This window comes from Homo sapiens, chromosome 1, assembly GCF_000001405.40.
Source record: "Homo sapiens chromosome 1, GRCh38.p14 Primary Assembly".
NCBI lineage: Eukaryota > Metazoa > Chordata > Mammalia > Primates > Hominidae > Homo > Homo sapiens.
This window is the reverse complement of record NC_000001.11, coordinates 209,756,053-209,783,799: the sequence shown is the minus strand read 5'-3', so window position 1 is coordinate 209,783,799 and position 27,747 is coordinate 209,756,053. Positions and strand designations below refer to the sequence as shown.

At 45.8% G+C, this 27,747-nt stretch overlaps 2 protein-coding genes across 13 annotated transcripts in view, besides 5 other annotated features; one reads left to right on the top strand and one right to left on the bottom strand.

The window, feature by feature from the left end:
• Positions 1 to 4,592, top strand: part of C1orf74 (chromosome 1 open reading frame 74) — a 5,352-nt gene extending 760 nt beyond the window's left edge. The window contains exon 2 of the mRNA NM_152485.4: positions 91 to 4,592. Within this exon, the coding sequence (NP_689698.1) occupies positions 166 to 975 (810 nt within the window). The 5' untranslated portion in view covers positions 91 to 165 and the 3' untranslated portion in view covers positions 976 to 4,592. The remainder of the gene's footprint in view (positions 1 to 90) is intronic.
• TRAF3IP3 (TRAF3 interacting protein 3) lies at positions 1,490 to 27,747 on the bottom strand. Of its 12 annotated transcripts, none has more exons than NM_025228.4 (17): positions 27,491 to 27,747; positions 24,666 to 24,766; positions 23,416 to 23,818; positions 21,138 to 21,285; positions 20,930 to 20,987; positions 20,708 to 20,732; positions 20,408 to 20,437; positions 20,213 to 20,308; positions 10,781 to 10,852; positions 8,311 to 8,451; positions 8,064 to 8,201; positions 6,313 to 6,448; positions 5,627 to 5,689; positions 4,426 to 4,485; positions 3,194 to 3,330; positions 2,342 to 2,455; positions 1,490 to 1,744 (listed from the first exon to the last, which is right to left on the bottom strand). In NM_025228.4, exons 3-17 carry the CDS (start codon positions 23,758 to 23,760, stop codon positions 1,652 to 1,654), a joined length of 1,656 nt encoding a protein of 551 aa, NP_079504.2. In that variant the 5' UTR covers positions 23,761 to 23,818; positions 24,666 to 24,766; positions 27,491 to 27,747; the 3' UTR covers positions 1,490 to 1,651. The 12 variants fall into 12 exon arrangements, 11 of the variants coding, with proteins under 11 accessions (NP_079504.2, NP_001307073.1, NP_001307072.1 ...); NM_001320144.2 differs by having other exon boundaries at positions 23,476 to 23,818; NM_001320143.2 differs by lacking the exon at positions 27,491 to 27,747 and adding an exon at positions 24,946 to 25,302.
• Positions 5,730 to 5,930: a silencer, noted in NCBI's record as "peak675 fragment used in MPRA reporter construct". NCBI's record gives its function as "represses an SCP1 promoter by STARR-seq MPRAs in K562 erythroleukemia cells {active_cell/tissue: K562}" and the evidence as "EXISTENCE:reporter gene assay evidence [ECO:0000049][PMID:32103011]".
• Positions 11,757 to 12,256: an enhancer, noted in NCBI's record as "H3K4me1 hESC enhancer chr1:209944889-209945388 (GRCh37/hg19 assembly coordinates)". NCBI's record gives its function as "activates a minimal SCP1, AML or CMV promoter by ChIP-STARR-seq in primed H9 embryonic stem cells {active_cell/tissue: H9 hESC(primed)}" and the evidence as "EXISTENCE:reporter gene assay evidence [ECO:0000049][PMID:30033119]".
• Positions 14,095 to 14,344: an enhancer, noted in NCBI's record as "active region_2475". NCBI's record gives its function as "activates an Ori minimal core promoter by ATAC-STARR-seq in GM12878 lymphoblastoid cells {active_cell/tissue: GM12878}" and the evidence as "EXISTENCE:reporter gene assay evidence [ECO:0000049][PMID:35858748]".
• Positions 14,355 to 14,404: an enhancer, noted in NCBI's record as "active region_2474". NCBI's record gives its function as "activates an Ori minimal core promoter by ATAC-STARR-seq in GM12878 lymphoblastoid cells {active_cell/tissue: GM12878}" and the evidence as "EXISTENCE:reporter gene assay evidence [ECO:0000049][PMID:35858748]".
• Positions 27,175 to 27,584: an enhancer, noted in NCBI's record as "active region_2473". NCBI's record gives its function as "activates an Ori minimal core promoter by ATAC-STARR-seq in GM12878 lymphoblastoid cells {active_cell/tissue: GM12878}" and the evidence as "EXISTENCE:reporter gene assay evidence [ECO:0000049][PMID:35858748]".

Genomic DNA, 27,747 nt, shown 5'->3' with positions numbered 1-27,747 from the left:
CAAAGCAGGGAGGGACAGAATAACCTTTGGAAGATACCGCGATTTAACAGGAAGGCTGTTAATAATTCCCTGCTCCTGCTTTGTTTCTAGGCCCCTCCTCAAGTGTCTGGCTGAAAGATGCCACCCAGGGAAGGGAACTCGGGCTAGCTAAGGAGGCCATTCTTGATGTTGCTTCTAGATCTCATGTCATCACCGAGCCCTCAGCTGCTGGTGGCAGCTGCTCAGCAGACCCTTGGCATGGGAAAGAGACGGAGTCCACCCCAAGCCATCTGCCTTCACTTAGCTGGAGAGGTGCTGGCTGTGGCCCGGGGACTGAAGCCAGCTGTGCTCTATGATTGCAACTGTGCAGGGGCATCAGAGCTCCAGAGCTATCTGGAGGAGCTGAAGGGGCTTGGCTTCCTGACTTTTGGACTTCACATCCTTGAGATTGGAGAAAACAGCCTGATTGTCAGTCCTGAGCATGTATGTCAGCACTTGGAGCAGGTGCTGCTTGGTACCATAGCCTTTGTGGATGTTTCCAGCTGCCAGCGTCACCCTTCTGTCTGCTCCCTGGACCAGCTTCAGGACTTGAAGGCCCTCGTGGCTGAGATCATCACACATTTGCAGGGGCTGCAGAGGGACTTATCTCTAGCAGTCTCCTACAGCAGGCTCCATTCCTCAGACTGGAATCTGTGTACTGTATTTGGGATCCTCCTGGGCTATCCTGTTCCCTATACCTTTCACCTGAACCAGGGAGATGACAACTGCTTAGCTCTGACTCCACTACGAGTATTCACTGCCCGGATCTCATGGTTGCTAGGTCAACCCCCAATCCTGCTCTATTCTTTTAGTGTCCCAGAGAGTTTGTTCCCAGGCCTGAGGGACATTCTAAACACCTGGGAGAAGGACCTCAGAACCCGATTTAGGACTCAGAATGACTTTGCTGATCTCAGCATCTCCTCTGAGATAGTCACACTGCCGGCTGTGGCCCTCTGACTTTAACTCTCCTCCCATATAGAAGGTACTCAGTAAATGATCATCTCTAGGTTGGGGATGGCAAATAATCATCTCAACTGCCAATTCCAAGTGTCTTGAATACACTAAGGCACAATGCTGTAGATCAGTTGGCCACAAATGCAAAGGGCATGTAAATAGGTAATGGTGGTGCTAGTAGCAAATTGGTAGATAGTACATACTTGCCATTTCTATACTAGGAAGTCCTCTTAGTGGAGATGTTTTCATTTTCACTGGATAAAAGATAGAAGGAAGGAGATGATAGAGGAAAAGCAGGGTGATGGAAGACAAGCCAAACACTCTTGCATGGTAACCTTGTAAATATACCTGCTCTATGTGGGTGCTGCATGCTAGGAAAGTAGGGCTGGGGGCTTTTCTGCATGTTTATATGCCTCCAACTGAATTTGAGGAGAGTAGACCACCAGTATGCTTAAATATGTGATACTTGTTAATGTAATACACCATTCAGGAATAAACTGAGAGTTCTGAGGAACAATCTGGTCAGGTGAAGTTTATTTACAGTAGGTTAAGAAATTAATAAAAAGTCAGAAATCCTAAGTCAGTTGGAAAACCCAAGCTGTAATGTACCCAAACCTTCTGAGTTTTTCGCTGAGTTGCTTGCTTCTGATTTTCACCCAAGGCAGTTGTCACAAATTATTCAGATCATCAGGTTGTCTTTATTGGCCAGGAACACTGCCAGTGCTGCAGCAATCACCACCATCAGCACTGGGAGCCATCGCCCACATTGCCTCTGTAGGGGGACAGGGAGACAGAAGAAAGTGGCCATGAGTGGATTGGAAAAGATATAGGCAAAAATCTTTCTTCTTCCTACTCTAGCCCAGTGGAAAACGCTGGGTTGGTGGTGGAGAAAAAGCTTTTTACTCTGTCTCCCATTTTGTCACCTGTCTTGGGATAAAACCACTTAACCAATGTTCTCTGGCCCAGGGAGCCGTATCCATCAGGGACCAGATATATAAATACTGATATGAATAATGAAGGGTGGAAAATAACCCAGCAAAATTATATTCTTTCTTTGTATTCCCCAGTACTTTTGTGTCCTTCTGTTCTTGCCACCATGCTTATCATCGGCTAAAAGAACACCCTTTCATACTTTAGCTAAGAGTAAGTCTTTCCTTCTGGCATTGAGAGTTCTGTGAAAGTTGGGCTTTGATGGACGAGCCAGTGTTTTTTTCAATGGTTGCCATAATGTCAGTATAGTATAAACCAAGCACAGTGGGACAGGATGGCCAGTTGTTGGCGTGGGCTGATATATTTTATGTGCAAAACTTGGTTAAAGAAGGAATCGTCCCATCATCCAGGGCTTTATGGGAAGGAGAGACCCTCTTACTCTGGGAGGCAGCTGCTGGCTCTGGTTCAGCTCTTCTCGACAGTGCTGCAGCTTACGCAGGCAGGAGAGATACTCGTCACTGAGGTTGTCTAATTCTGAATGCAGTTCTCTGCACTGGGGAGAACATCACCAAAGTCATCACTGTCACTTCTGTCTAGGACAGAGCCCAGGCAGGGGAGACTGCCCTTTGTAAGTTTCACTCATTTGGAATTTTTACCACCATCTTCCCTTCCCAGCCATTCTCAGGGATTTGAGTTTGTCTTTTGACTGTCTTACATTGTCTGGAATGTGTTCATTTAAATGATTGACAGTAATGCATATTATAGTATTACATTTTATACATTTAAGTTCTTTTATATGACTTTACGTGCAAGTGCTTTGCAAATGAGAGACACCGAAAAATGAAGTTCTTATAGAACAAACGACCTAGAAGTGACCTTAGTACAAGTTTCTTTCCCAGGAGCTAGTTGCATATCAATACTTCTGGGGATGTGTATGTTTGTGAGTATGTACAAAGGAAGAGTTTTACTCTTTAAGAGACATATAAAGACTTAAGATACTCAATGTGGGACGACATATTGAGAAGTTAATATTTTTATTAAATGTGTTTGAGTTTTGGTCGACTTTCTAAAAGGTAATCATTTAATAAAACCTTGAATAGGAGTTGGTATAAATAAGGAAGGGAAAAGATTGACAAGTCAGCCCAAAAGCACAGACACTTTATGTAGGCAAATGAATGTCTGTGGTTATCCACTCACAACTTAAACTTTGAAATCCCTGCTTTTTGACTGCCTCCCAGGTTTCTCTGCTATTTCGCAAATGAGCCCTCACTATCTCAGGTCACCCTCTCACCTCCTTTTCCTTGGCCTGGAGCTGCAAAGTCTTCTTTTGCAGCTGGTCTCTGAGATCCCAGTCTTTCTCCTTCCCTGTACCCTCAGGCTCCACTTCGTTAGGGAAGGACTTTGGACTCCACACGGGCAAAGCCTGATCTAAAAAAGCAGCCAGATTCTTGGTGACAGTGAGGCCCACACCTCTGAGGAAGGGCCCTGAGGGTGAAACCACTAGGAGTGGGGAGAGGGGAGGGAACTTGGGAGGGCGTGCTCTTGGCTAGACTGATGGCATTCTCTGACATAAAGGTTAACTTCCAGTAGGCCCCTGCTAAGCTTGGACAGACAGCTGGAATCTGAGCTCCTTGAGGGCAAGATTGGGATCTTTTCTTTGTATCCCCAGTCTTATCTAGTGCTAGATAGTTTTAGTGAATACTTCTTAATTGAATTTCATTGGTTGTATGTCACATTCTTCCTAGTTTGTCAAATAAGTTTGGTAAATGCTTTAATACAATCCCTTTTCCCTGATGTCCTCATTTGAAAGTTGTGAAGATGGCAGTCATATCCTAAAATTTATCTTCATATGGTTAAAGATGGTTTTTTAGCCACCCTGCAGTCTTAGTCTTGGTGAAAAGAGCATGGACTAGGAGTCAGAAGTTTTGGATTGTTGTTATAGCTGTGTTGTTAGTTTGTGTCACCATAGACTTTCATGTTCTTATCCATACTCTGTGAGCATAAAAATTTCTGCCTTATCTATTATATTATGCCCAATGATTGTGAAGAGAAAACAAAAGGTCGTGTGTAGTGGACAGGTGAGGAGCTATTGCCCCTCTGTATACACAGTGAATTCTCAGGAAACATGGACAGTAGACTCTCTAGGGCTAACAGTGAGTTGACTCTGGACTGCTATGTGGTTTGGGGCTGGGGAGTTGGATGTGATTTGGAAAATCAAGTGTGTAAAAATTGACATGAAATCCTGAGTTCAAAATAAATTTATTGAAATGTTCAACACAGACATGTGCTTTCAGAGAGAATAGAAACCCTTTTTCACAGTTTATATACCTCAAGATAGAAGGCTAACTAGTTGAAGTGTCCTCAGAGCCAATGATCAGTCCTTAAAAAGCTCCCACACATCCCGGACTTAACAGACTCCCAGAACTGGCTGGGACTCCAGGAGGTCATGTAGTCCATCCCGCTGCCTCTAGGCAGGTAAGAGAAGAGCAATATCTTAGAATTTGTGGTAATAAATTTGCTGACCTTTCTTTGTTAAGAGTTTCTCCTGTTCTTGAAGCTGTAAGGATTGATTTTGAAGCAAACCTGTTGGAAAACACAAGGAACTTGTCTATGCTAGCATATTTACTACAAAAAGTTTTCTTTTCAGAACTTTGCTTAGAACCTTGGTTATTAAATATGTTCCCATCTGCTGTGTGTTGAATTTTGTCCCCCAGAATATATATGTTGAAGTCCTAACCCTCAGTACCTTAAATAATGACCTTATTTGGAGATAGATTCTTTAAAAGATAATCAAGTTAAAATGGGGTCATTCAGGTGGGCCCCAATCTAATATCACTGGTGTCCTTATAAGAAGGGGAAATATGGACACAGATATGTTCATGGGAAAGACAATGTGAAGAGACACAGAGAGAAGACGGCCATCTACAAAGCCAAGGAAAGAGCCCTGGGATAGATCTTTCCCTAAACGCCCTCAGAAGGAAACAACCCTGCTGACATCTTGGATTTCTAGTCTCCAGAACTGTGAGACAATACATTTCTGTTCTTCAAGGCACCCAGTCTGTGGTACTTTGCTATGAATATAGCATCCTTATATCTCCCCCTACCATGTCTCTATCTTCAAGTCTTTGCTTGAAGATTTTCCCTTTTCCCTGTGGTTGCTTTGCTCTCTTAATAATCATTGCTGCTTTCATGAAGCTTCTCTATCAGGTGTCAGAGGTTAAAGTGGTGGGCAACCAGCAGCTGTATTAATTGAGTCAGGTTCTCCAGCTTTTCAGAAACTGCTTTTCTTCTGAGAAGTCCCTTTTCCTCTTTGGGCCCAATATGTAGTTTTGAAGTGGATTGAGGCACGTATAGTGTAAGCTTATTTTCTAAACCATCTCTAATGACAGGTCTATGTGACACATTCATGTACATAAATTAGAATATATAAAATAAGAACTGCTTTAGGAAACCCAGTATTTAAAAAAAATCTGCAGTTCTAGGGGAAATGTAAGTGGTGTCATTGGCATGGAAGGAGAACAGTAGAAAAAAAAGAACAGAGGCTAACACATAATTTATGGAGAGCTATGTAAATGACCTCACTTTACAAGAAGAGGGTCTGAAAGTGCACAGAGTTAGAGCATATGCCAAAGACTGGGCCCTTAGTCCCTACTCTGGGTGCCTTTTGTGGGCCAGGACCCCAGGAAAACCCTGTGGACTTTCAGAATCTGGAAAGCGAACTTACCCTGCAACTGCTGTACTCTGGTCACCAGGGTGAGTTTCTCTGCCTCTGACCTTTTTAGTTGATCTGAAAATGCAATAATGCAAGCCAAAATAAAGGAACCCAAGACTTAATGAACTCAGTACTTAGGATGGAAATTAGTAATAGATGCTGTCTTGTCATGGTCTTTAACGTGTGTCTATTGGAAGTTGCTCTATCTTCGTGTCCCAGTTCTGAAGAGGTAAACCAGAAGCCAAGTACCTCAGGTTTTTGTGCATCAACAATGTTGGGTTGCATTGAGGCTTGTGTTTACACACTATCTAGTCCTCTCTATCAGCGGACACAGAGGATGTGACTGAGAGACTTTCTCTATGCCTTGTGTTTCAACTGACCTTTCCCTTTCAAATTAGGACTGTGGCCTTGACATATGTGACTGATGTGGGAGCAGCTGTGATCTGGCCCAGAGGGATGGGCTAAAAAAGAGAGCTCAGACAACAAGATACTCTATCTACTACAGTGAAATTAATTTTCAATTTTGGATGATTAAAACAGTCCTGCCTCTCCCTCAAGGTAAAATGAGATTATAAAGCCAATCAACCAATCAAGCAAACAAATAAAAGGCTGAAGCCTTTCTCTTAATTCAGTTTCTTTTTTCTTAGCTCACTTGGCCATGGCTGCCATGCACTCAAGGCCTCCAAGGAGAAGAGTACCTTGTAGGTCCTGGGTATCCAAGCTGCACAGGTCTCTGTCCCCTTGCAGGCATTCAATCTTGGCCTGCAGTTGCTGGTGCTCATTTTCCAAAAATCGCAGGGCCTGGTTCATCTGTAAGTCCCTGCTATCTGCTCCCTGTAAGGAGGAGGAAGGGCCAATATAGAAGGAGGTCAGTGTTGGGGTGGAGGTTGGGGGGCGGGTACCATGGAAGAGGAAAATGTAGAAAAGTCTGGAATTTTAGAGATAGAAGGAATGTTAGGGAGATGAGAAAATAGAGAAGTCTTTCTTTTTTCCTATTTCTTCCCTTTGCTTTGTTCCTCATATTTATAACAGCAGATTAGACTTTTGATATTCACAAGGAACTCGCGTCTTTTATTTATTTATTTTTATTTTTAGAGATGGGGTCTCACTTTGTCACCCAGACTGGAGTGCAGTGGTGCCATCATAGCACATTGCAGCCTCGACCTCTTGGGCTCAAGCAATCCTCCCATCTTAGCCTTCTGAGTAGCTGGGACTACAGGCATTTGCCAGTAGTTTTGAAGTGGACTGAGGCATGTGCAGTGTAAGTTTATTTTCTAAACCATCCCTAGTGACAGGTCTAAGTGACACATTCATGTACATAAATTAGAATATATAAAATAAGAATTGCTTTAGGAAACCCAGTACGTTAAAAAATCTGCCATTCTAGGGGAAATGTAAGTGGTTGTCATTGGTGTGGGAGTCATGTCTTGACACTTTGGTAAATCACCAAATTAAGGAATACAAAGTCATTAGTTTTCTGGATGTTTTCATTTTCTCTTTTTTCTACTTCTGGCAGTATCAGTTTTTTTTTTGGTTAGGGTCTTTTTTTTTCCACAAAGATTTAAAGTTAAAAAACCCCTCACAAAAATCTTCATAGGAGTTGCCTTATAGGTGATGGGAAGAAGAAAACAACAAAGGTTGAGCTGTGGATACCACGCAGAGTGACCAGCTGGGTTCACTCCTTTGATAAGACTCACATACTCTGTCTCTTATCAAGTGGGCTGTTCTGAGCCCTGCTTCAGGAAAATTACAAAGATCAGCTTTTGAGGTGGATCCTCAAAATTCCAAACCAGGTAAATAAATCTATGCAAAATAATAGCTAATATTTACTGAGTGTTTTTGTGTGCCAGGCATTGTGCTAAGTGCTTTACATGGATCATCTTACTTAATACTCAGAACCACCTTATGATGTAGGTACTATTATCCTCATTTTAGAGATGGGGAAACTGAGGCTTAGGACAGATTGAAGATGATGGAACCCTTGAGGATGCCAAGAATCTAATTGTAATTGCTAAATGTAATTGCTTAAAATACACATTGGCAGAAAGTGTTAATACTCACCTGTAAATAAATTAGTGACATTCTTTCTTTGCCAACAGTGGGCAATTCTGAACTGGATGCTTTTTTGGGATGGAGTTTGGAGAGTGGGTTGGGAGATGACATTAGTAGGCTGATGAATATTCCAGCCAGTTCTTTTCATTTGGGTGGTGATGGTGTCATTCCAATGAACGCTTAGTTCATTTGCATGAGCAATGCAGACATCCTTGCTAAACTCAAAATTAGATTTCAGAGCCAAAACAGTGAATTTGGTACAAAGTAGTGGTGACTGAGGAACTGAAAGCCAGATGCTGTCAGCTGCCTTTGGAGTCCCTAATCCAGAACAGCTTCTTTCATCACCATCCCTCCTCCCCATACCCTGTCTTCCCTCCCCACCCCCAGTGCCTGGTACCTGCAGTTTGGACTGAAGCACGTGGAGTTGGCTCTCCAGCTCCCTGTGCTGGGTCCCAAGGGTCCTCCAGTCCTCCTTCAGAGCCTCATACTGGCTCCTCCACTCTTCACACTTCTGCTCTGCCAGGGCCAGGGATCGCTGAGGGAGATCAGAGAGGAGAGGGCTCCAGGGAGTTGTGCAGCTGGCTCCCCTTGTTCCCCAAGCTGCCTGGAGTCCCCAGCCCCATGTCTATGTGGCATCCCCATACCTGTGTGCTCTGTAGTTGCTGCTCTGCATTCATTTTCTCCTCCAGCACTTTCTGCAGTGACTCCTTGGCCTTCTGCTCATAGCTGTTTTTCTGGTCTTCCATCTCCAGTAGTACTTTTTTCATTCCCCAAGGGGAGTATTTCTGTAAATTTGATGCAATTCAACAAATACACATTGAGCTTCTGTGTGCCAAATCCTGAGCTGGGATACAGAAATGAAAAGAAGTTGGTTCTTCCCCCAGGCAGAGATACCAGTAATCTAGTGAGCCATTTCTTTTAGGGTAGAGCTAGCAAGAAGAGTCCCTCAGGCAATGAGAGATGAGTGGAGGGCATAATAAACAGTGCCCTAGGCTTCCTGGGCATTATATCTGAGGCCTTCTGCAAGCTCTTGGAATCCAAGATGTCTAAACAGGACTCATCTTTCTAAACATGTTCTTTTTTCTTGGGGTTCCTATCTCAGTGACCAGAATCATCATCCATCCAGGCTTTTCCAAACCCTAAACCAGGGAGTCAATCTTCATTTTCTCTCTCACTTCCTCCCCCTCTAATCAGTTGGTCATTGAGCCTTGACAATTTCCTTAACAGCTCATATCTGTCTCCTCTCTATCCCTACTGCTGCTTCCTTAGTTCAGGCTCTAGTAGTAGTGTTATGTGGATTAATGCAACAGCCTCCCTTTCTTCAAATCTTGCCTCCCTTCAGTCCCTTTTCAGTTCTGCATTTAGAGGGTTCTTTCTAAAATGCAAATCTGATCTTGCCACTTCCTGTATAAATCTCTCCATGGATTCTCAGCATACTAAGAATCACATCCAAACTCCTTGTCATGGCTCCTCTTACACGCCTAGACTTTCATCCCATGCTACTTCCACCTAAGCTGAGATGTTTGCAGATCCCCCAGCACTCTGTTTTTTGGGGCTCTGCCTTTACCCATGTAGCTTCTTCTGCCTACAGCCAGTTAACTTCTACTAATACTCAAGATTCAGTCCAGTATCATCAGTTCTGATAAATTGACCAACTACCCCCATCCCACAATGTCTTATGGATTAGGTAGCTTTTCTTAGGGTTCATGGTGTTCACATAGTATCCCCTGCATGCCTCTATTATTCTACTCTATTGACTCATCTGTCTTTCATACTGGATTGTAAACTCCTTCAGGGAGGGAGCATACTGCTGCTGCTTTAAAAAAAAATCATTGTAGCTTCTTTACAATGCCTAATGAACTTCATGTTTTAAAATTAATACATTTGCATTATAAAATTCCTCCTGGCTGCAGGATTAAGGAGACACAAGCGCAGCTTTGCAAATTCACTGGGGGTCTTGCCTTCTCCCTTTCTTTCATCTTTATGCCCTGTGATTTCGGAGAAGGCAGGCAGATTTTATTGTCAATTCTGGATTACCTACTGTGTAAGCAGTAGACCAGATGACAACAATTTAGGGATCAATATGAAATCATTTCCATTTAGCTTTGGAATTGTCTGAAATTTTGGATTTAAATTTGAGTGGGTCTTATAGTTTTGGAACTTTCATTAAAAACCAGATCCAGGAATTAACCTGGTTGAGGTCATATGTAGGGGATGTCCCAGTTATTGGACATCCAATGACCATCCATGCTGGGCACTGGTTATGTGTTATTCCCTATTGAAAATGAATAGACTGGCATTCTGGATTATATATTAGTCTCCTGTGAACTTGGTTGGCATTATTTAGTCCTGACAAAGCAAGTTATACTGAAAAAATGAAAGTTGTGGACCAAGAAACTTATAGACTCCATAAACTCTCTTCCCCTGTAAGACGCCATCAATGTGGCCAGGACTGTCTTCTCTCTCTAACTCCAGATGGGAGAATTCTGCCTGTTTCACCCCATTCTCTGATTTGATATCTTCCCACCTGTCAGGTATCCATCACTTCTCAAATGTGAAAGCTGATTTCTTTCTATCTCTTATAAACCAAGATTAGGCCAATCAAGAGATTACTAATGCTGGAAAATGGTGTTACAGAAGAGCCAAGTAAAAGAGCTTTTACATTCTTCCAGGGGTTGCTAGAAAAAACAGAAAAAAGTTACCCATGGAATGAAAATAATTTTGTAAGACTTCATTATAACATCTAACTCATCTGTTCAAAGATTAGGATGCGTAAAGGGCTGTCTGGGTGATGTGAGTCTTTACCAAGGGCCTTCCCCTACAGTGTCAGGTATTCTCAAGGTTCCCCTGGAGCTGACAAACTGGTTAGTGCTGGGATTCCTCCAGGGTGCAAAGAGAAGGATACTGGGAGAAAGGGAGAGGAAGAAGGATGGAGACAGTGATCTAGTGAATTAGAGACTAAAGTGTAAATGGCCAAGCCAGAAATGGGTAAGTAGGAATGGGTGTGTTATTCTCTATCTGGTGGTGTTTCTCGAAAGTAAGATTGAGGTTCAAAAACATTCTTCTCATTTAATTCTAGATTCCTGAGATGGAAGTATCCTTCAGAATGCTTACCTGGGTACAGGTGTATAGCTGGTTTTCTAAGGATCTCAGTTTCCCCTTCAGTTTGTCTTCATTAAGCTGTCCCTGGAGCAAATGGGATGAGTTAATGAGCTTGGGGCAAAATCTAGTCTGCAAAGAGTTTGACTCTATATTCCTATTCTACTGCCCAGCACATGGTTGGTGCTCAAACAGTGAACTCTTTCAGGAGGCAGGCAGGAGCAAAGATGACAAAGGATGCTGGATAGAAGAGGATCTTCTCCTGTTTCTCTGGACTAGGACAAGAAAGAATAAGACTGGCCTCAAGTCCTCTTTTTACCTCGATTTTTATCAAATGGCTCAGGGTAGCATAGCAGGGGGGCCCCGGAAGGAAAGCTTCTAAGCTACCCTTTCGCTCACTATCTCCCTCCCCTGTCTAGGCACTTCTGCACTCCTCACCTCTTCTCAGTCTTGTACGTGGACTTTTCCCTGTAAAATGTAGGCCAGTGAGGCTAACGCAGTCTCCCCTCCCGGGAGAATGTTTATTCCCTCCCTTGCCCTCGGTTATGAGCTCATTTATATCTCCTCAACATTTCTATGTTGAAGTCCTAAGCCCCGAGTGCCCCAGAATGTGACCATATTTGGAGAAAGGGTCTTTAAAGATGTAGTTAAGTTAAAATGAGGCCATTAAGCTGGCCCTAATCCAATATGATGGATGTCCTTATTAAAAGAGGAGATCAGGGCACTGCAGGAAGGCCATGTGGAGACACAGAGAGAGATGGCAATCTGTAAGCCAGGAAGAGAGACCGCAGGAGAAACGAACTCTGCTGACACCTCGATCTCAGACTTTTAGCCTCCAGAACTATGAGAAAATAAGTTTGTTTTTGAAGTTCCCCTGACTGTGGTACTTTGTCATAGCAGCCCTAGGAGATTAATACACTCCCCTCCCTGCCACACACACCTCCACATGCACACACACACCTCCATATACACACACCTTCACATGTGCACACACACCTCCACATGCACACGTACACTTCCACCTGCACACATACACTTCCACCTGCACACACGTACCTCCACCTGCACACACACACCTTCACATGCACACGCACACCTGCATATGCACACGCACACCTCCATATACACACACACCTTCACATGCGCGCACACACCTCCACATGCACACGTACACTTCCACCTGCACACACGTACCTCCACCTGCACACACACACCTTCACATGCACACGCACACCTGCATATGCACACGCACACCTCCATATACACACACACCTTCACATGCGCGCACACACCTCCACATGCACACGTACACTTCCACCTGCACACATACACCTCCACCTGCACACACGTACCTCCACCTGAACACACACCTTCACATGCACACCTTCACATGCACACGCACACCTCCATATGCACACGCACACCACATGCGCACACACACCTCCACATGCACACGTACACTTCCACTGCACACATACACCTCCACCTGCATACACGTACCTCCACCTGCACACACACACCTTCACACACACCTTCACATGCACACGCACACCTCCATATGCACACGCACACCTTCACATGCACACACACCTCCACATGCACACACCTCCACCTGCACATGCATACCTTCACATGCACATGCACACTTCCACCTGCACACACACCTCCAGCTGCACACGCACACCTCCACATGCACAGATACACCTCCACATGCACACACACACCTTCACATGCACACGCACACCTTCACATGCAGATGCACACCTCCGTAGGGACACACACCTCCACCTGCACACACATACCTTCACATGCACACACACACCTTCACATGAACACGCACACCTCCACATGCGCACGCACACCTCCACATGCACACAACCTTCACATGCACACACATCCATATGCACACGCACACTTCCACATGCATGCACACTTCCACCTGCACACACACACCTCCACCTGCACACACACCTCCACATGCACACGCACACTTCCACCTGAGCACACACACACATCCACATGCACACGCACACCTCCACCTGCACACACACACCTCCACATGCACACGCACCCCTCCACATGCACACGCACACCTCCACCTGCACACGCACACCTTCACCTGCACACGCACACCTTCACCTGCACACGCACACCTCCACATGGCACACACACACTTTCACATGCACACACACACTTCTATATAGACACACACCTCCACCTGCACACACACACCTCCATATGCACACACACACACCTCCATAGGCACACGCACACCTCCACCTGCACACGCACACCTCCACCTGCACACGCACACCTCCACCTGCACACACACACCTCCACATGCACACACACACCTCCATATGCACACACACACCTTCACATGCACATGTGCACCTCCACCTGCACACAACTTCCAGCTGCACACACACCTCCACATGCACAGATACACCTCCACATGCACACACATTCTACCTGGACACACACACCTCCACCTGCACACGCACACTTCCACCTGCACACACATACTTTCACATGCACACGCACACTTCCACATGCACACACACACCTCCACATGCACACACATACCTCCACCTGCACACACACACCTCCACATGCACACACACACCTCCACCTGCACACACACACCTCCACATGCACACGCACAATTCCATCTGGACATACACACTTCCATCTCCACACACACACCTCCACCTGCATACATACATTTCCACATGCACACGTACATACTAGACTCAAGATGAGAACTTCTTTAAGAAAGCAAGAAACGGAGAGATATTAAAGCAGAGTGAGGGCGGCAGGGGGTGTAAGGGAGCTTCCCAGAAAGTCACATTCTATTTATTCATAAGCTGGGGCTGTCTAATGGTATTTTCGACATTCCAAGAAAGATGCTAATCTCAAGGGCGAGAGGGGAGCAAGGCCGGCATGAAGAGCCAATCTGTTTCTCGGTTTTTCAGTATTTCAGCTTAGTAGCTACAGCTTCCCTGCCACTTTTTTGTCCCCTCCCTTTGTAGACTTGCCCCTTTTGCCCAGGTAGGGGTTTTGTTCTTCCAGCCTGGAGTTTTGTGTAGGGTGTATCTGTGTAGGGGAGGGGGCGGAGGAGCCATCAATGAGAGCAAGTTTTCCAGAGAAAGGGCAGTGACCGGTTTTCCTATCTTTTCTCTGGCTTTTTCCAACCAGGCCAAGTGGGACGCTTGTGAGGTCTTGAAATTCCACCTCTCTTTAGGCCCGAGACGCCATGGGCTCTCTCAGCCAGATGGCCTGGACATTTCCATCTCTTATAACATTTCCGGTTTGTAATGGTCTGGGGGTAGAGGAGGGGGCTCGGCTTTGAGGTCCGCCTCCCTCAGTGAGTTTCAGGGTGCCTGGGAGAGGCAGGAAGTGGTATCTCGCAGCTCCTGTTTTGATCTTGTTTGGCTTATTCTTCTAACCATGGGAGCCAGGGGGTGCCCCCACCCTTTCAGCTTCCTGTGTTACTCAGCTGGGGCTTGCAAAAGCAAAAAGTGTTGCCAAAAATAATTTTTTAAAGTGCCTCCTGCTATTAATGTTTTTCCTAACGTCTCATGTGAGGGAGAGCAGAGAGTCAGGGATTTGGCATCTACAATAAGCAGAGGGCTTTGGGACCGATGGAAGACGTGGACAAAGACTTCTACTGTTTGAGCTTTGAAGTAACTGGTAAAACGGCTGCATTCCACTGTGGCCTGTTCATTGTCAATCCACAGGTCCTGAAATCAACTGGCTCTACACCTACCTCCTCTGGTTCACATCTTCGGTTCCACACATTTGCCTTTGCCCAAACTCTTTCTATGCAGAATGCAATCAAACCTACCAAATTTAAGGTTTATCTTGCTGTATTTTGGGAATATAGCAGGCCTAAGGCAATATTCTTAAAATTTTCCCAGTCTCCTACCCTTTTGGGGTACCTCCTCTCTCCCCATTCCATAGTATGGCTTTAATCCAATATTTTGCCTCTTTCAACTGTTTTTGTATTGGCCCAACCCCAAATTACTTTTCCATTCGTGTTGCAACGGAAGACAATTTACCATAGCCACTTCAGTGGGGATGAAGGGCCACCCAAGTCTGGAGCTTGAATGAAACCTCTTTCCACAGCTCTGCTTTTCTGGACTCCCCAAAACGTCATAAAAGTCGCAGCCAAGTTGTTGCAAATCGGGCATGTAGTTTCCTGGTCTGAGCCCCAGGGTCCCCCACACTGAAGCCCAGTGTTACAGTATGTGGGAAGAAGCACTTTTTACAGGCCTACTGCTGACATTCTAGGCAGTTAGACCCCGGGAGCCGAGGGCTCAGAGGGCATATAAACCCCAGTGAAGAGAGGAGCAAGGCGGAGGCCATACACACCTGGTGCCGGTCTGAGGTCTTCAGCTCCTGCTTCTGCGTGGTTTTCCCCTGCCTCTGATCTGCTCTCCAGAAACACCACCACCTCACCACAGAAGCACCAGCCCACAGCTCATCTCTCTGCTCTAGTAGAGGTTGCTTAGGGCTTCAGCCAATCCCCGCTGCGCTGTCATCTCAAGATCTTAATTCCAGGACGCAGATCTTCAAACCCAAGGCTGCCCTGCTCTCGTTTTTGTATTGCACAATATTGAAAGCTTGCTTTCTCTGCTAGTAGAGCTGTTTCTGCCCTGAAGGTTGGACCCTCCTCAGGAGTCTCAATAGTGCCCCAGAGCCTATGGTATCCAAAAGGCCCAGAGACATCCGGAGGTGAAGCCAGCGGAGGGAGCTGATCCTTGGGATTCTAATAGGGAGTTTGTGGTAAGTTCTCAGCATGTGAAGTTGGAAATTCAAATTTATGAAGGTCAAATGGCAAAAATAAAGGTCTGAACCAGTTCTGGCCACTTTCTTCCAATTATTTTTCCCAGATACCACAGTTTGGGGCTATACTTTTATTGGAGTTGAGGCTTTCATGGAAGAGATAGAGAGTTGAATTACCTTATTTTAGGGGAAACAATAGCTGTTAACTGAAAAAGTCTGAGACTGTTTTTCTTTAAAACTGGAAGCTAGGGGGTTGGTGGGGAGGAGGGACAAAGAAGAGAAGGGTGAGGATTGGGAGGGGTGAGAAGAAGGGAGGGAGGAAACCACAACCAAGGGAACTTCTGCTCTTGGGCTGGAGCATGGGGTGAAACTCCTCCTTGGAGACAAACCCAGAAATGTCTCTTAATATATCCCCCCTCATTCCCACAAAGCTTGCTTTGATTCAAGCTCTGGTTGTGTCTTACCTGGGATATTACAAGAGTCTCAACTCCCCCAACCCCTGCTTGGAGCCAGGGTTCTTATTGCTACAAGTTAGATAATCCTTGAACCCTCCCCCCTCTTTTTTTTTTTTCAAGACAGGGTCTTGCTCTGTTACCCCATGCAGGAGTACAGTGGTGCAGCCTGGACCTCCTGGGCTCAAGCGATCCTCCTGCCTCAGCCTCCCAAGTAGCTGTGACTATAGGTGTGTACCACCATGCATGGCTAATTTTTTTATTTTTAATAGAGATGAGGTCTCACTATGTTGCCCAGGCTGGTCTTGATCACTCAAGTGATCCTTCTGCCTTGGCCCCCCAAAGTGTTGGGATTACAGGTGTGAGACACTGCATCCAGTTGGAAATTACAGAACTTTTTAAGACACAGATCTGATCATTCACAAGTCATTTCCTCAGATAGTAATTGCATACCTTCTAAGGATGAGCCAGACATTGCTAAGTGTAGGACTTTATACCTCAATAAAGCATAGTTCCATTCTTACTCAGCTTATTACCTATAGCAGTGTTTCTCAAGCTGGGTAGCATGCATTCTAAAGGATCTCTGATTTTATATATATACATATATGGGTTTCCTTTAAAAATGGGTCCATGCATTATTCAAGTTTGAGATACCTTGTTCAACAGAAAAAGTTTAAGACCCATAATTCTAAAGACCTGTCTGAGATCCTTTCTTTGGTACTACTCTGGCATACCTTCATTTCAGCCATACTCTGCTATACCCAATTCTTTGCCATACATAGGCCTGTAATCATTCCAATTCCTTTACCTTAAACACTCTTCTACTTTCTGCTTTTTTCCCTCATCATCACTCTTGCTTCTCTACTGGTTAGCTCCTACTCATCCTTCAAGATTCAGCTAAAATGGTTTCTTTCCTTTATTTTTATTTTTTGAGACAGAATCTTGCTCCGTCACCCAGGCTGGAGTGCAGTGGCACAATCTCAGCTCACTGCAACCTCCACCTCCTGGGTTCAAGCAATTCTTGTGTCTCAGCCTCCTGAGTAGCTCGGACTTCAGGCATGCACGATTACGCTCAGCTAATTTTTGTATCTTTAGTAGAGACGGGTTTTCGCCATGTTGGCCAGGCTGGTCTTGAACTCCTGGCCTCAAGTGGTCCACCTGCCTTGGCCTCCCAAAGTGCTGGGATTATAGGCATGAGCTGCCGTGCCTGGCCAGGTTTCCTTCCTTTAAAGCCTTCCCTGTTCCACCTCAGGTGGAATAATTGCTGCCTTCTTTCTCTTTTTCCTGCATCATGCTTTATGCACTGCTGCTATAGCCTTATTATACTGTTTTGGTGTTATTTATTACATGTCTCTGTCTTCATGGCTGGACTGTGAGCTCCTCAAGAGTTAGGACTGTAATGCTCTTTGCCCCTGTAGCACAAGGCCCAGCACAGAGTTGGAACTTATCAAATGACTGTCAAACAAATGAGTGAGATGATCTCAATTTAGTTCAGGACCAGAAACCACCTCACGTGCACAGCTGTCTGCCCCAAGTTCCTGCTCTGTCAATGAAAATGACCTAACAATCAGGAGCTCTGACCACAGATTGAGAAATCCAGGTACAATGTCTGACGTGAGGAGCAGGGCTGAGCTTAGGAAATCTTTTTTACATCACTGCAACTTCTCAGTTTTGTTCCATACTCTCCCATCATCTTTCTTTCTCTGCTCAAGCCATCTTCAAGGTAGGGTGAGATGTCACACAGGCCGGTGAGGTTGTGTGCTCCATCTCTTTCCACCCGGTGCGGTATGCTTTGGTGGTGTCAAGCTGCTTGTAGCTCATATTAATACATGAATTTATAGTACATACTAATTTACAGGTTTCAACATGGGGATTCTGAGGAAACTTGGGAATCCCCAAGACCCTTTTAAGGGATCAGCAAAGTCTTACTTTTTCTAATGACATATTTGTGTGAAACTGAATTTTTCTTTATGTTTAAACCAATAGATTGAATACAGAAGCAAATTGAGAAGCTAGCTGTCTTTTTTTTCAGCCAGACATTAAAAATATTTGCAAAAGTGTAAAGCAATGATACTCCTGTCACTAATTTTGTTTTTGAAAATATGGTTCTTTTTCTTTTTCTTTTTTGAGACAGAGTTTCACTCCCATCGCCCAGGCTGGAATGCAGTGGTGCAGTCTTGGCTCACTGCAACCTCCACCCCTGGGACGTAAGAGATTCTCCTGCCTTAGCCTCCTGAGTTCCTAAGACTACAGGTGCATGCCAATGTACCTGGCTAATTTTTTGTATTTTTAGTAGAGACGAGGTTTTGCCATGTTGCCCAGGCTGGTCTTGAACTCCTGAGCTCAAGTGATCCACCTGCCTTGGCCTCCCAAAGTCTGGGATTACAGGTGTGAACCACCGCACCCAGACTGTTTTTCTTAAAACATGTAATTCAGGTTAGCATGAAAAATTTTACTCTCATTATTTTAAAATTAATAATTCTTTCTCAATTTCTATCTTAATTTCTTCCTTCCTTCCTTCCTTCCTTCCTTCCTTCCTTCCTTCCTTCCTTCCTTCCTTCCTTCCTCTCTCTCTCTCTCCCTCTCTCTCTCTCTCTCTCTCTCTCTCTCTCTCTCCTGTCTCTCAGAGTCCTGCTCTGTCATCTAGGCTGGAGTGTAGTGGCACTATCATCGCTCACTGCAACCTCCACTTCCTGGGCTCAAGCGATTCTCGTGGCCCAGCCTCCGGAGTAGCTGAGATTACAGGTGTGCACCACCACGCCTGGCTAATTTTTGTATTTTTAGTAGAGACAGGGTTTTGCCATGTTGGCCGGGCTGGTCTCTAATTCCTGACCTCAGGTGATCTTCCTGCATCAGCCTTCCAAAGTGCTGGGATTTACAGACATGATGCACGGCACCTGGCCAACTGTTTTAATTTCTAGTATGGTAAATATAAACATTTCTTATATATTTTCAATAATTTAAAAAGTATAAAGGAATCCTGAAATAAAAAAATTGGAGAACCATTTTACTAGACTGTGTCATGCCTTTAGATTTTTTTTTTTTTTTTTTGAGATGGAGTCTCGCTCTTTTGTCCAGGCTGGAGTGCAATGAGGTGATCTCAGCTTACTGCAACCTCTGCCTTCTTGGTTCAAGCGATTCTCCTGCCTCAGCCTCCTGAGTAGCTGGGATTACAGGCATGTGCAACCACACCCAGCTAATATTTTTGTATTTTTAGTAGAGACGGGGTTTCGCCATGTTGGCCAGGCTGGTCTTGAACTCCTGACCTCAGGTGATCCACCCGCCTCGGGCTCCCAAAGTGCTGGGATTACAGGTGTGAGCCACCACCCCCGGCCTTGCCTTTAGACCTTTGCCTGTACCCCAACTAAAATACTATTCCTTCTTCCATATTTTCCTGGCAAATGCTTATATAAGTATTCCCCTGGCTCTTTTCTTCTCTGGAGTCACTCATTCCTTCTTGTATTTTCCTATATCTTGAAAACATTTCTTTTATTTTTCATGTTTTTGTATTGTTTAGTCATGTGTCTTTCTTACAAAACCGTGAGCCTTCTCAAAGCAAGAACCCTATCTAAATAATCTCATTATTTCTAGTGCTAGTCCAGTGCTCTGTATAGAGGACATAACCTATGAATATTGTACATTGAATGGACTAAAATCAAAGGCCTGAATTTTAGTTGCAGATCTGCCACTACCTAGCTGTGTGACTTTTCGCAAGTTACTTGACCCCTATGAAGCTCAGTTTCCTCATGGGCAAAATGAGAGTATTAGGCCAGATTGTCTCTAAGGTCCCTTCCCACTCTGATATTTTTATTCGGACTGAGTGGGTACATGGCATGCTGGTTTCGATAAATATCAGTGGGAATCCCATATGAAAATATTTGACATTTAGCATATTTAGTAATGTAAACTATATTGGGATCTTCCTTCATTCCTTCCAACAAATTAAAAAATGGGAATTCTTGCCACTTTTGTTTCTGGGTCTTCCTTGGATATGTAGCACCATGACCCTCAGGTGATGACCCATATATTTATTGTGACCTGTTTGACTTCTAGGTCTGAGCACCATCCCCCTCATCTCCTGCCTCTTCCCAGCTTACTTTTCAGTAGTGAGAAAACCCCTTCTCTTACTGTGATGATGTGGAAAGAAAAATGAGATGGGAACACATAGAAGCCCAAGCTTTGTTCAAAAAGAATTTCATTCCCTTACCTTCCAAGAGCTGTCAGAGGCCTGAATCAGAGTGGACAGTAGGTCTTGGAGAATCACCATTTTCTGTTTTAGGACCAGCTCCCTTTGTAGGGCCTCCTGGGGGTGCGGGCACAAAGTGCAAGAGGGTAAGATTAACCTGGAGGATCGGGGGTAAGTGGATGGAGGAACTGAGGGGAGGGGTCACATGCCACTTACTTTGAGGTAATCAGAAAGCTGGATGATTTCCTGGAGAGAAAGAACAAGGGTATTCAAAATGTCTGTAAGTCCCCTGAAACCCTGGGATATAGAACCAGAGCCTGGGCTGGCTTGTGTAGAGCAAACCTCTTCTGCTTTGGCTCTGACAGGGTCCCTTTAGTCCCCATGTCTATGCTCAGTACCCCCTTGCCATCCAGGAAGAAGATGCCCCTCCATCCCAGCCAAGTTTATCATGGAATTCCAGAATGTCAGAGCTTAATACTTTCTGATTTGACCCCTTCAAAGTGAATATGTGCTTACCTTATCCAGAACTGCAACTCCGTAACTGGAAAGAGAAGAAATTAAAAATAATGATAATGGACCAAAGAATCAAGTCAGGAGGCAGTGGGTTGATTCCTTCTGAAGAGCCAGTAGGGTGGGGAAGGGCTTCCTCTTTCTTAATTAAGGCGGACATGGAAATTCATTGTGTTCTCTCTAGAGAGGAATGGATGGGATGTGAGAGGGTTAGGGTCAGGAACTCACTTGGTTTGCTGACTGGCATCGTTCTTAATTGTTGGTCCTTCTGCCTTTGTCTGAGTACCTGAGAGATGGAGGATAAGTTGATTTAGAACTTACAGGGAGGAAGTGAGGGAAGTGGGGAGGGACAGGGACTCTCCATTGCCAGTGAGCTGGGACAGTTGTCTCAGGATTCTCTGCAGGCCCTGTGGAGTGAGGGAGGCTCTGCTCTTACCACGGTGGTGTTTGGGTGGCTTCTTGATGGGAGTGTCCTGTGGAGGAAGGCCCCCAGCCTGTGAGGAGAGGTGGTCAGACAGATCCCTGCAGATGCCTGAGGGAGGAGGATGCTGGGCTGGAAAGACTTCAGAGCTGGTGCCTGTCACCTGGAAGGCAAGTGGGGAATGCTGAAAACCACTGCCTGGAGCCTCTTGAAAGACTCTCCTGATGATTTCGGAAGGAAGAACTAACCATCATGTTTGTTATGGACTGAGTGTTTATTGTCCCCCCGCCCAAATCTGTGTGTTGAAATCCTATCTCCCAATGTGATAGTATTAGGAGGTGGAGACTTTGAGAAATAATTAGGTCAGAGCAGGTAGCCCTCATGAATGGGATTAGTGCCATTATTAGAAGAGACACGAGAGAGCTTGCTTTCTCTCTCTGCTCTCTGCCTTGTGAGGACACAATGAGAAGAAGGCCATCTGCATAGTGGGAAGAGTGCTCTCATCAGACACCAGATCTGCAGAATCCATGGGTTTAGAACTCCAGACTCCAGAATTGTAAGAAATAAATTTCTGTTATTTAAGCCACCCAGTCTGTGGTAATTCATTACAGGACGAAGACAATGTTTCAGATCCACAAAACCAAAGTAGCCCACTCAAGCTTTCAGAGCCACACAGGCTTCTCCTGCTCCTGATATCCTTGTCCTGACTGGCAGAAATGGTCCTCCTCAGGCCAGGCATATGTGGAGCTGTACTTTTCTCCAGGTTTTCTCTCTAGAATCTCTAGTTGTTGTTTTTTTTTCTCTCTCTACCTTGTTTGGTTATGGCCACTTACATAGCCAGCATGGTGATGTGGAAAGAGAACTGGTCTGAGTGGGGAGTGAGGGGATCTGGGTTCAGATCCCATCTTTTCTAGGTCTCAGTCTTCTGTCTGTGTAGTGAGGAGTTTGGAATAGATAATCCATAAGGTTCCTTCCATATTCAAAGGAAAGCCTCCTTTCTCTTAGTAACAGCTAGAAAATCATTGAGGTTTTGTGTGAAGACTAGGTAAAGTGGGGAGTTGTGGGAAGGTTTTTTGCTTTAGTATACAGTTCCTTTTCTTTTGCAACTGGGCTCTAGGATCATTTCTCTGAACAGCATCTCCTATTGAGCATAACAGATCCACTAGTTAAGAAGCCCTGATAGAGTACCCACTCTGGGTAGGGAACAATGCCAAGCATTACCATGGAACATAGTGGACACATCCCTGCTGTCAACATGCTCACAACTTCAGTAGGAAGATGGTTTGCTGGCCAAGGTCATCTCAGCATACCCTGGTTTTTGCCAACATTGTTCCTTTCCAGGCCAGACTAATGGGCCCTCTAAGGGTTACACAATCTTAGAAGATTTTAACCTCACAAGGCCCATAGACAGCAGAGGTGGCCTGGAGAAGCCAGGGAAAGCTTCCTGGACCAGATGAGGCTATAGTCAAGTGATTTAATAGAATTGGAATGACACAAGAGGAAGTGAGAAGAGTGGGCACAACAGCCTTGCAGAAGAAAAGAGGACAGATATGTCTGTGTGTGTGTCAAGAAGACTGGCCTGTGTGCTTGGCATATAATAAGCTTTCAGTAAATATTTGATGACTGATGGATGAATGAATGCTGTAAGATAGCTGTAGAAGACATGTGTATATTGCCTAAATTTGAACTGATATAGGCATTAGCTTTGGAATTATTTTTATTTATTTTATTTTTAAGTTTTTTAGAGATAGGGTCTCCCTCTCTTGCCCAGGCTGGAGTGCAATGGTGTGATCATAGCTTATTGCAGCTTCAAACTCCTGGGTTCAAGTAATCCTCCCATCTTTGCCTCCTGATTAGTTAGGACTACAGGTGTGCACCACCATGCCTGGTTAGTTTGTAAAGTTTTTGATAGAGACAGGGTCTTGTCTCTATCAAAAGGCTGGTCTCGAACTCCTGGCCTCAAGTGATCCTCCTGCCTTGGCCTCCCAAAGTACTGGGATTACAGGTATAAGCCAACATGCCCAGCCTGAAATTGTTTTTAAAAATTATTTTTTCTCTCTTATAAGTCAAGTGCAGAACAAAAAGAGCTAAACAAACGAAAACACAACAGCAAAAATCTCTGAATAAGTAGCTGTTGGCAACTTTACTATAAGTAGCTCTTGGCAACTTTACTATATGACTGAGGAAGAAGGACTTGATTTAGGTCACTTTTTAGTGACCTTGAGCCCACCCACCCTCCTTGTCCAGAGAGGGTCCCAGAGCACACAGCAGTATGTCCCTTGACACGGCCCACCTGCTCTCTGGGAGAAGAAATCCTTCTGGCACAAGACAAGGGTTCCTTGAGGACAGTCACCTGTCCTGGCCGCCTGGAGGGCCCTTGCTCCCTGGCCTGGGGATGCTGCGCTTTGCCCTTCTCCTCTAGCTCCAGGTTCCTCCTCCTGAAGAACTGCTGCAGTCGAGCTCTCTGGAGCTGCTCTCTCTGTTGGATCCTCAGCGTCTTCCCCACCTGGCGGCAAGTGGTCACATTGGGACGGCAGCGGCGGCTTTCACGGATCTCTTGCCTGCGCTCACACTTGGCCTCATAGCTCTCAGCCCACCGGGCCAAGCCAGGGGAGGGCCTGGGGTCTGGGCTGATCATGATGACCTCCAAGCACCTGTTGCGCTTGGCTTCCAGTTCCTGGAATAGATGCCTGGATCTGCCAAATGCCAAGAGGGAGGAGAAGGGGAGGGGTCAGAAGATGGGCAGAAAAATGACTATCTCCCTAGACCAGGGGGCAGAAATAGCACAGAGTTCCATCCATGTGGGTTGAAAACTGAGGACATGGTGGTATCAAAGTGGGAGTCAGGACTCTTGGGCTCAGTCTCTAATGAACTAATACAGTCTTATAAAAGTGAATTCCTGCTTTTCTCTAGCCGATGTTTCCCCTTTGTAAAGTAAAAGGGTCTCTATGGCTGCCACTTACTCCTTGACTGAACATCTTACCATGCCTCTGAGTCAGGGGAACATGAGAAATAATTGATTAAAATCATAATGAGCTTATAGCCTCTTGGATGGCAGGTGTGTGTTCATTTTCCAGACTTCTAGAGAAGCAGCTAAGTTGAGCCAATCTGCCCTCTTATCCCCCAGTTGAAAAGGAAAGTCAGTATCTTTACTGGTCTCTTGGTCCAAGCTGTCACTAACATAGTTGAGTGACACTTCTCAAGGATCTGGAGGGCTAACCACACCCCCTCAGGTGGTGACCAGTCCTGTGACCAGCACCCACTGCTCTCTTCTTGACTTTTAGCAACGAGCTTGTGAGCCTGGACCTGGCATGGTTTAGGAGGGAAACCCTACCCTAATTCCTCCAACCTGCTGTCCTGACAATGGTCCATGGGCCCCCCACTCCAAGCTCAGGACTGGGCTGTGTCTCTCAGGTGCAGATCAAGTCCAATCAATATTGACTGAGCATCTGCCACATGCCTAGTGCTGGCCAAAACCCATTTCAGAGCATCTGGCTCCAATACTGTTGGGGCTGAGGGTTCCATTTCTTTAGGATTACCAACCTGTCAGGGTTAATGTTGGTGCCAAGTCTGCTTTCCTTAGCCCAGACACAGATTGTGCCATCCAAACCCACAAGCACATGAATTGTACCTCAATAAGGCTGCTGCAAACAGAAAAGAAACAAAACAAAGACAGTAATCAGAAGTTTCCAGGGAGCCAGGCTTGGTGTAGGGGCCACAGGATGACCCTCTGCATGGCCTTACCTGATATTCACATAGCACCTAGACCTGAATCCCCTTTTCCTTCTCTGTGCCTTTCTCTTTCCTACTCTTCCCCACCTACCTTCTGTAGTTTATCCTCCTAGAACCCTCTGGTCACTTTGCTGAGTTGGGCTGGATTTGGATGAGCTGGATCCTGAGCGTTGGAAATTCTGTGTCCTGCCTCCTCTGATCACTGGAGTCAGACCAGGGACTGATGAAGGAAGAGGGACTCCCCCTCACAGCTGCTGCTGCTTCTCTTCCTCCCACGACCTCATTACCCACCACCCTGGGAGGAGGGTATCTCAGCTTCACCAACTAGCAGGCATTTGCTAGCTCTAACCCCTTGGGGTTTATTTATAGGCCAAACAGACTCAACAGGTAGCAGACTCTCTGCCCCTTTACTGGGACTTCGCTACTCTGGCTCAGTCTGGAATTCTCTGCAGGATTCTTGTTTTCTCTCTGATCCTACCACTCATTCCCCAGGGTCATGGGTGGGGCAGTCTTCTTCCCTGAGAGGAGTTTTGTGTGGTCAAGCCCTGGACACTCAAATGCCTGACTCTTGAGGGTTGGAGGGGCATACTCTGGTGTCAGGCAGCATTGATTCCAAGCAGAAATGTGAGGTTATTAATGTTTGTCCTCTACATACCCATTCTGAATGGCTCTCTTCTTTGTTTTTCCTTACTTCTTCTTCTCGGATAAGGGTGGGAGTGGGCATAGGGGGTGGTCCCTTGACTTCTTCCCTGCCACTTTCTTTATTTAAAGACTTAAAAGAAAGGGTCTGAGAGACCCATGTCTATTGTTATAAATGACTGAATGGAGGAGACGCAGGATTATGTGCATGTGAACTCCATGTCTAGAACCTACACTCACAGCATCCCTGAGCCACAGCCCCTGGCTATTCTGCCATGGATTGCAGTGGAGAACCCTGGCTCTTGGAGTCACACTGCGTGGACTCATGTCCTGGCTCTGTCACCTACAACCTGTGTGTGTTTTTAGATAAGCTATTAAACATCTCTAAGCCCCAGTCTCCTCATTTATAAAATGGGGCTAGGACCTGCCTTGTAGGTTATAAGGATTAAATGACAAAATGCAGGCCATGCACCTGGCATGGAGCACACAATAAATGTTACCTTTTAATAATAAAGACATAAAGTATTCCTATTAGGTTGGTGCAAAAGTAATTGCGAATATTATCCTTGTTATGCCGATGTTGGATATTGAAGACTTGGTGCTGTAAGACAAAGGCTCCAAGCTAAACTAGCACTTCTAGGACCAAGAATGCCTTCTCTCATCCTCTCAACCCTCTCTCTCTTTGACAGAGTATATTGTTTACCAGATTGAGGGGATGCTGGCCCCAGGCTGAAGTCACATTTACTTCTGACCTCTGGGTTTGGGCTATAAGGAGAAAGGCTTCTCTGTGGTCTGGACATAATTGCCATCCCAATTACACCAAGCCGAAAGGTAAGGAAGAGATGGGGTCTGCCTGTGTCACACATAAGGTGTGAGGTCCCCTCCCTGTTTGGCTCAGCTTCCCCACAGGTTTTGTAGTGGAGGCAGAACATTGAGAATCCTCCTACCTTCTTGCCGCGAAGAGGAAAGGGCTGTGGGGGAGAAGACAGTGCCTGAGATGAGGTCTCTCTGGGCTCTCCACCCAGGCCACCAACCTTAGTCCACTGAAACACACAGCTGCTCTGCTCTCTGCTTCCTTGGGGCAGACATGGAGCCTTCTTACCCAAGAAAGGAGCTGCAGTGGAAATGGCTCCTTAGAGAGGGGAGTGTTCCCAGATGCCTTGGCTACCACACCTGCTAGGATTTGGTGCAGCATGCTGCATAGAACCCTACCCAGGTTTCTGGGATATCTGGACCCTACTGACTTGCTTGAAAACAAGAAGGTATGTGGGACGGCTGACAGGGGTAGGCTGCTAAAGAAAAGGGAACTGGTCCCTGTAGGGTTCAAAGAAAGATCACTTGGCCACTGCCCAGGCTTTCTGGCATCTCTCAGGTTCCCCCCTGGCAGCATGACTGGGCTCACTTAGAGCTTGGAGGAAGAAGGTTTACTGGCTGGGAAGGCTCAGCCTGGTCTCTCAGGCTGCAGAGAGAGAACAGGGCATGGCTCCTCACCTGACTGTGGCTTGACATGCCTTTCTGAGTCTCGCTTTTACTTCCTGGCCATGTTTGTAATGGAGACAATGAATGGCTTCCTGCATGGGTTGGCCTTCCTGGCCCAGAGCTCTCAGTGTGAACTGAGGGGAGAGGGGCCTGCGCTTAAGCTGCTGGGAAGGCAGTCTTGTGTTCAGGGATCCCTGCTTTGAAGAAAACTGTAAAAGGTCATTTAATTCATGCCCATATCACTGGGTAGCCTGAACTCTAAGTCGTTTGACTCACTCCTAATCTAATGTAATCTAATCTACTGGAACAGAGGAGTGGTGCAAGCTGTACCCTGTGCCATGGCTAGCGCCACAGGAAACCAATACAGGATACTTTCTTGGTTACCCAAACCCCTGACACCCTTAAACTATGCCACCCACTCTCCACCCAGGGGAGCTGGGATGGTAGAGCATCTTCTGCCCTACCCCGAAGTTGGAGTTCCCAAACCTGGACACAAAAGCATCCTCCTTCTCAGTTACCTCCTAGTCCCAGGCTCCAACTCAAGCCACTCGGGAAAGCATTCCAGTCCTGGGCAGATCTTGGCTCTGGTCTCAGATGGAGCAAGACAGCAGATGGGTAAAGCACACGCTTTCAATCCATAGGTCTGGGCCCCATTAACACGTCCCTTCTTGGTACCGTCTTTCTTTTTGCACAGCAGCCTTGCTGAAACAGGAAACAGACAAAGCCACAAGGTTCGCAAACCCCAGTTCCTCTCTCTTGCTCTCTGGTATCATCT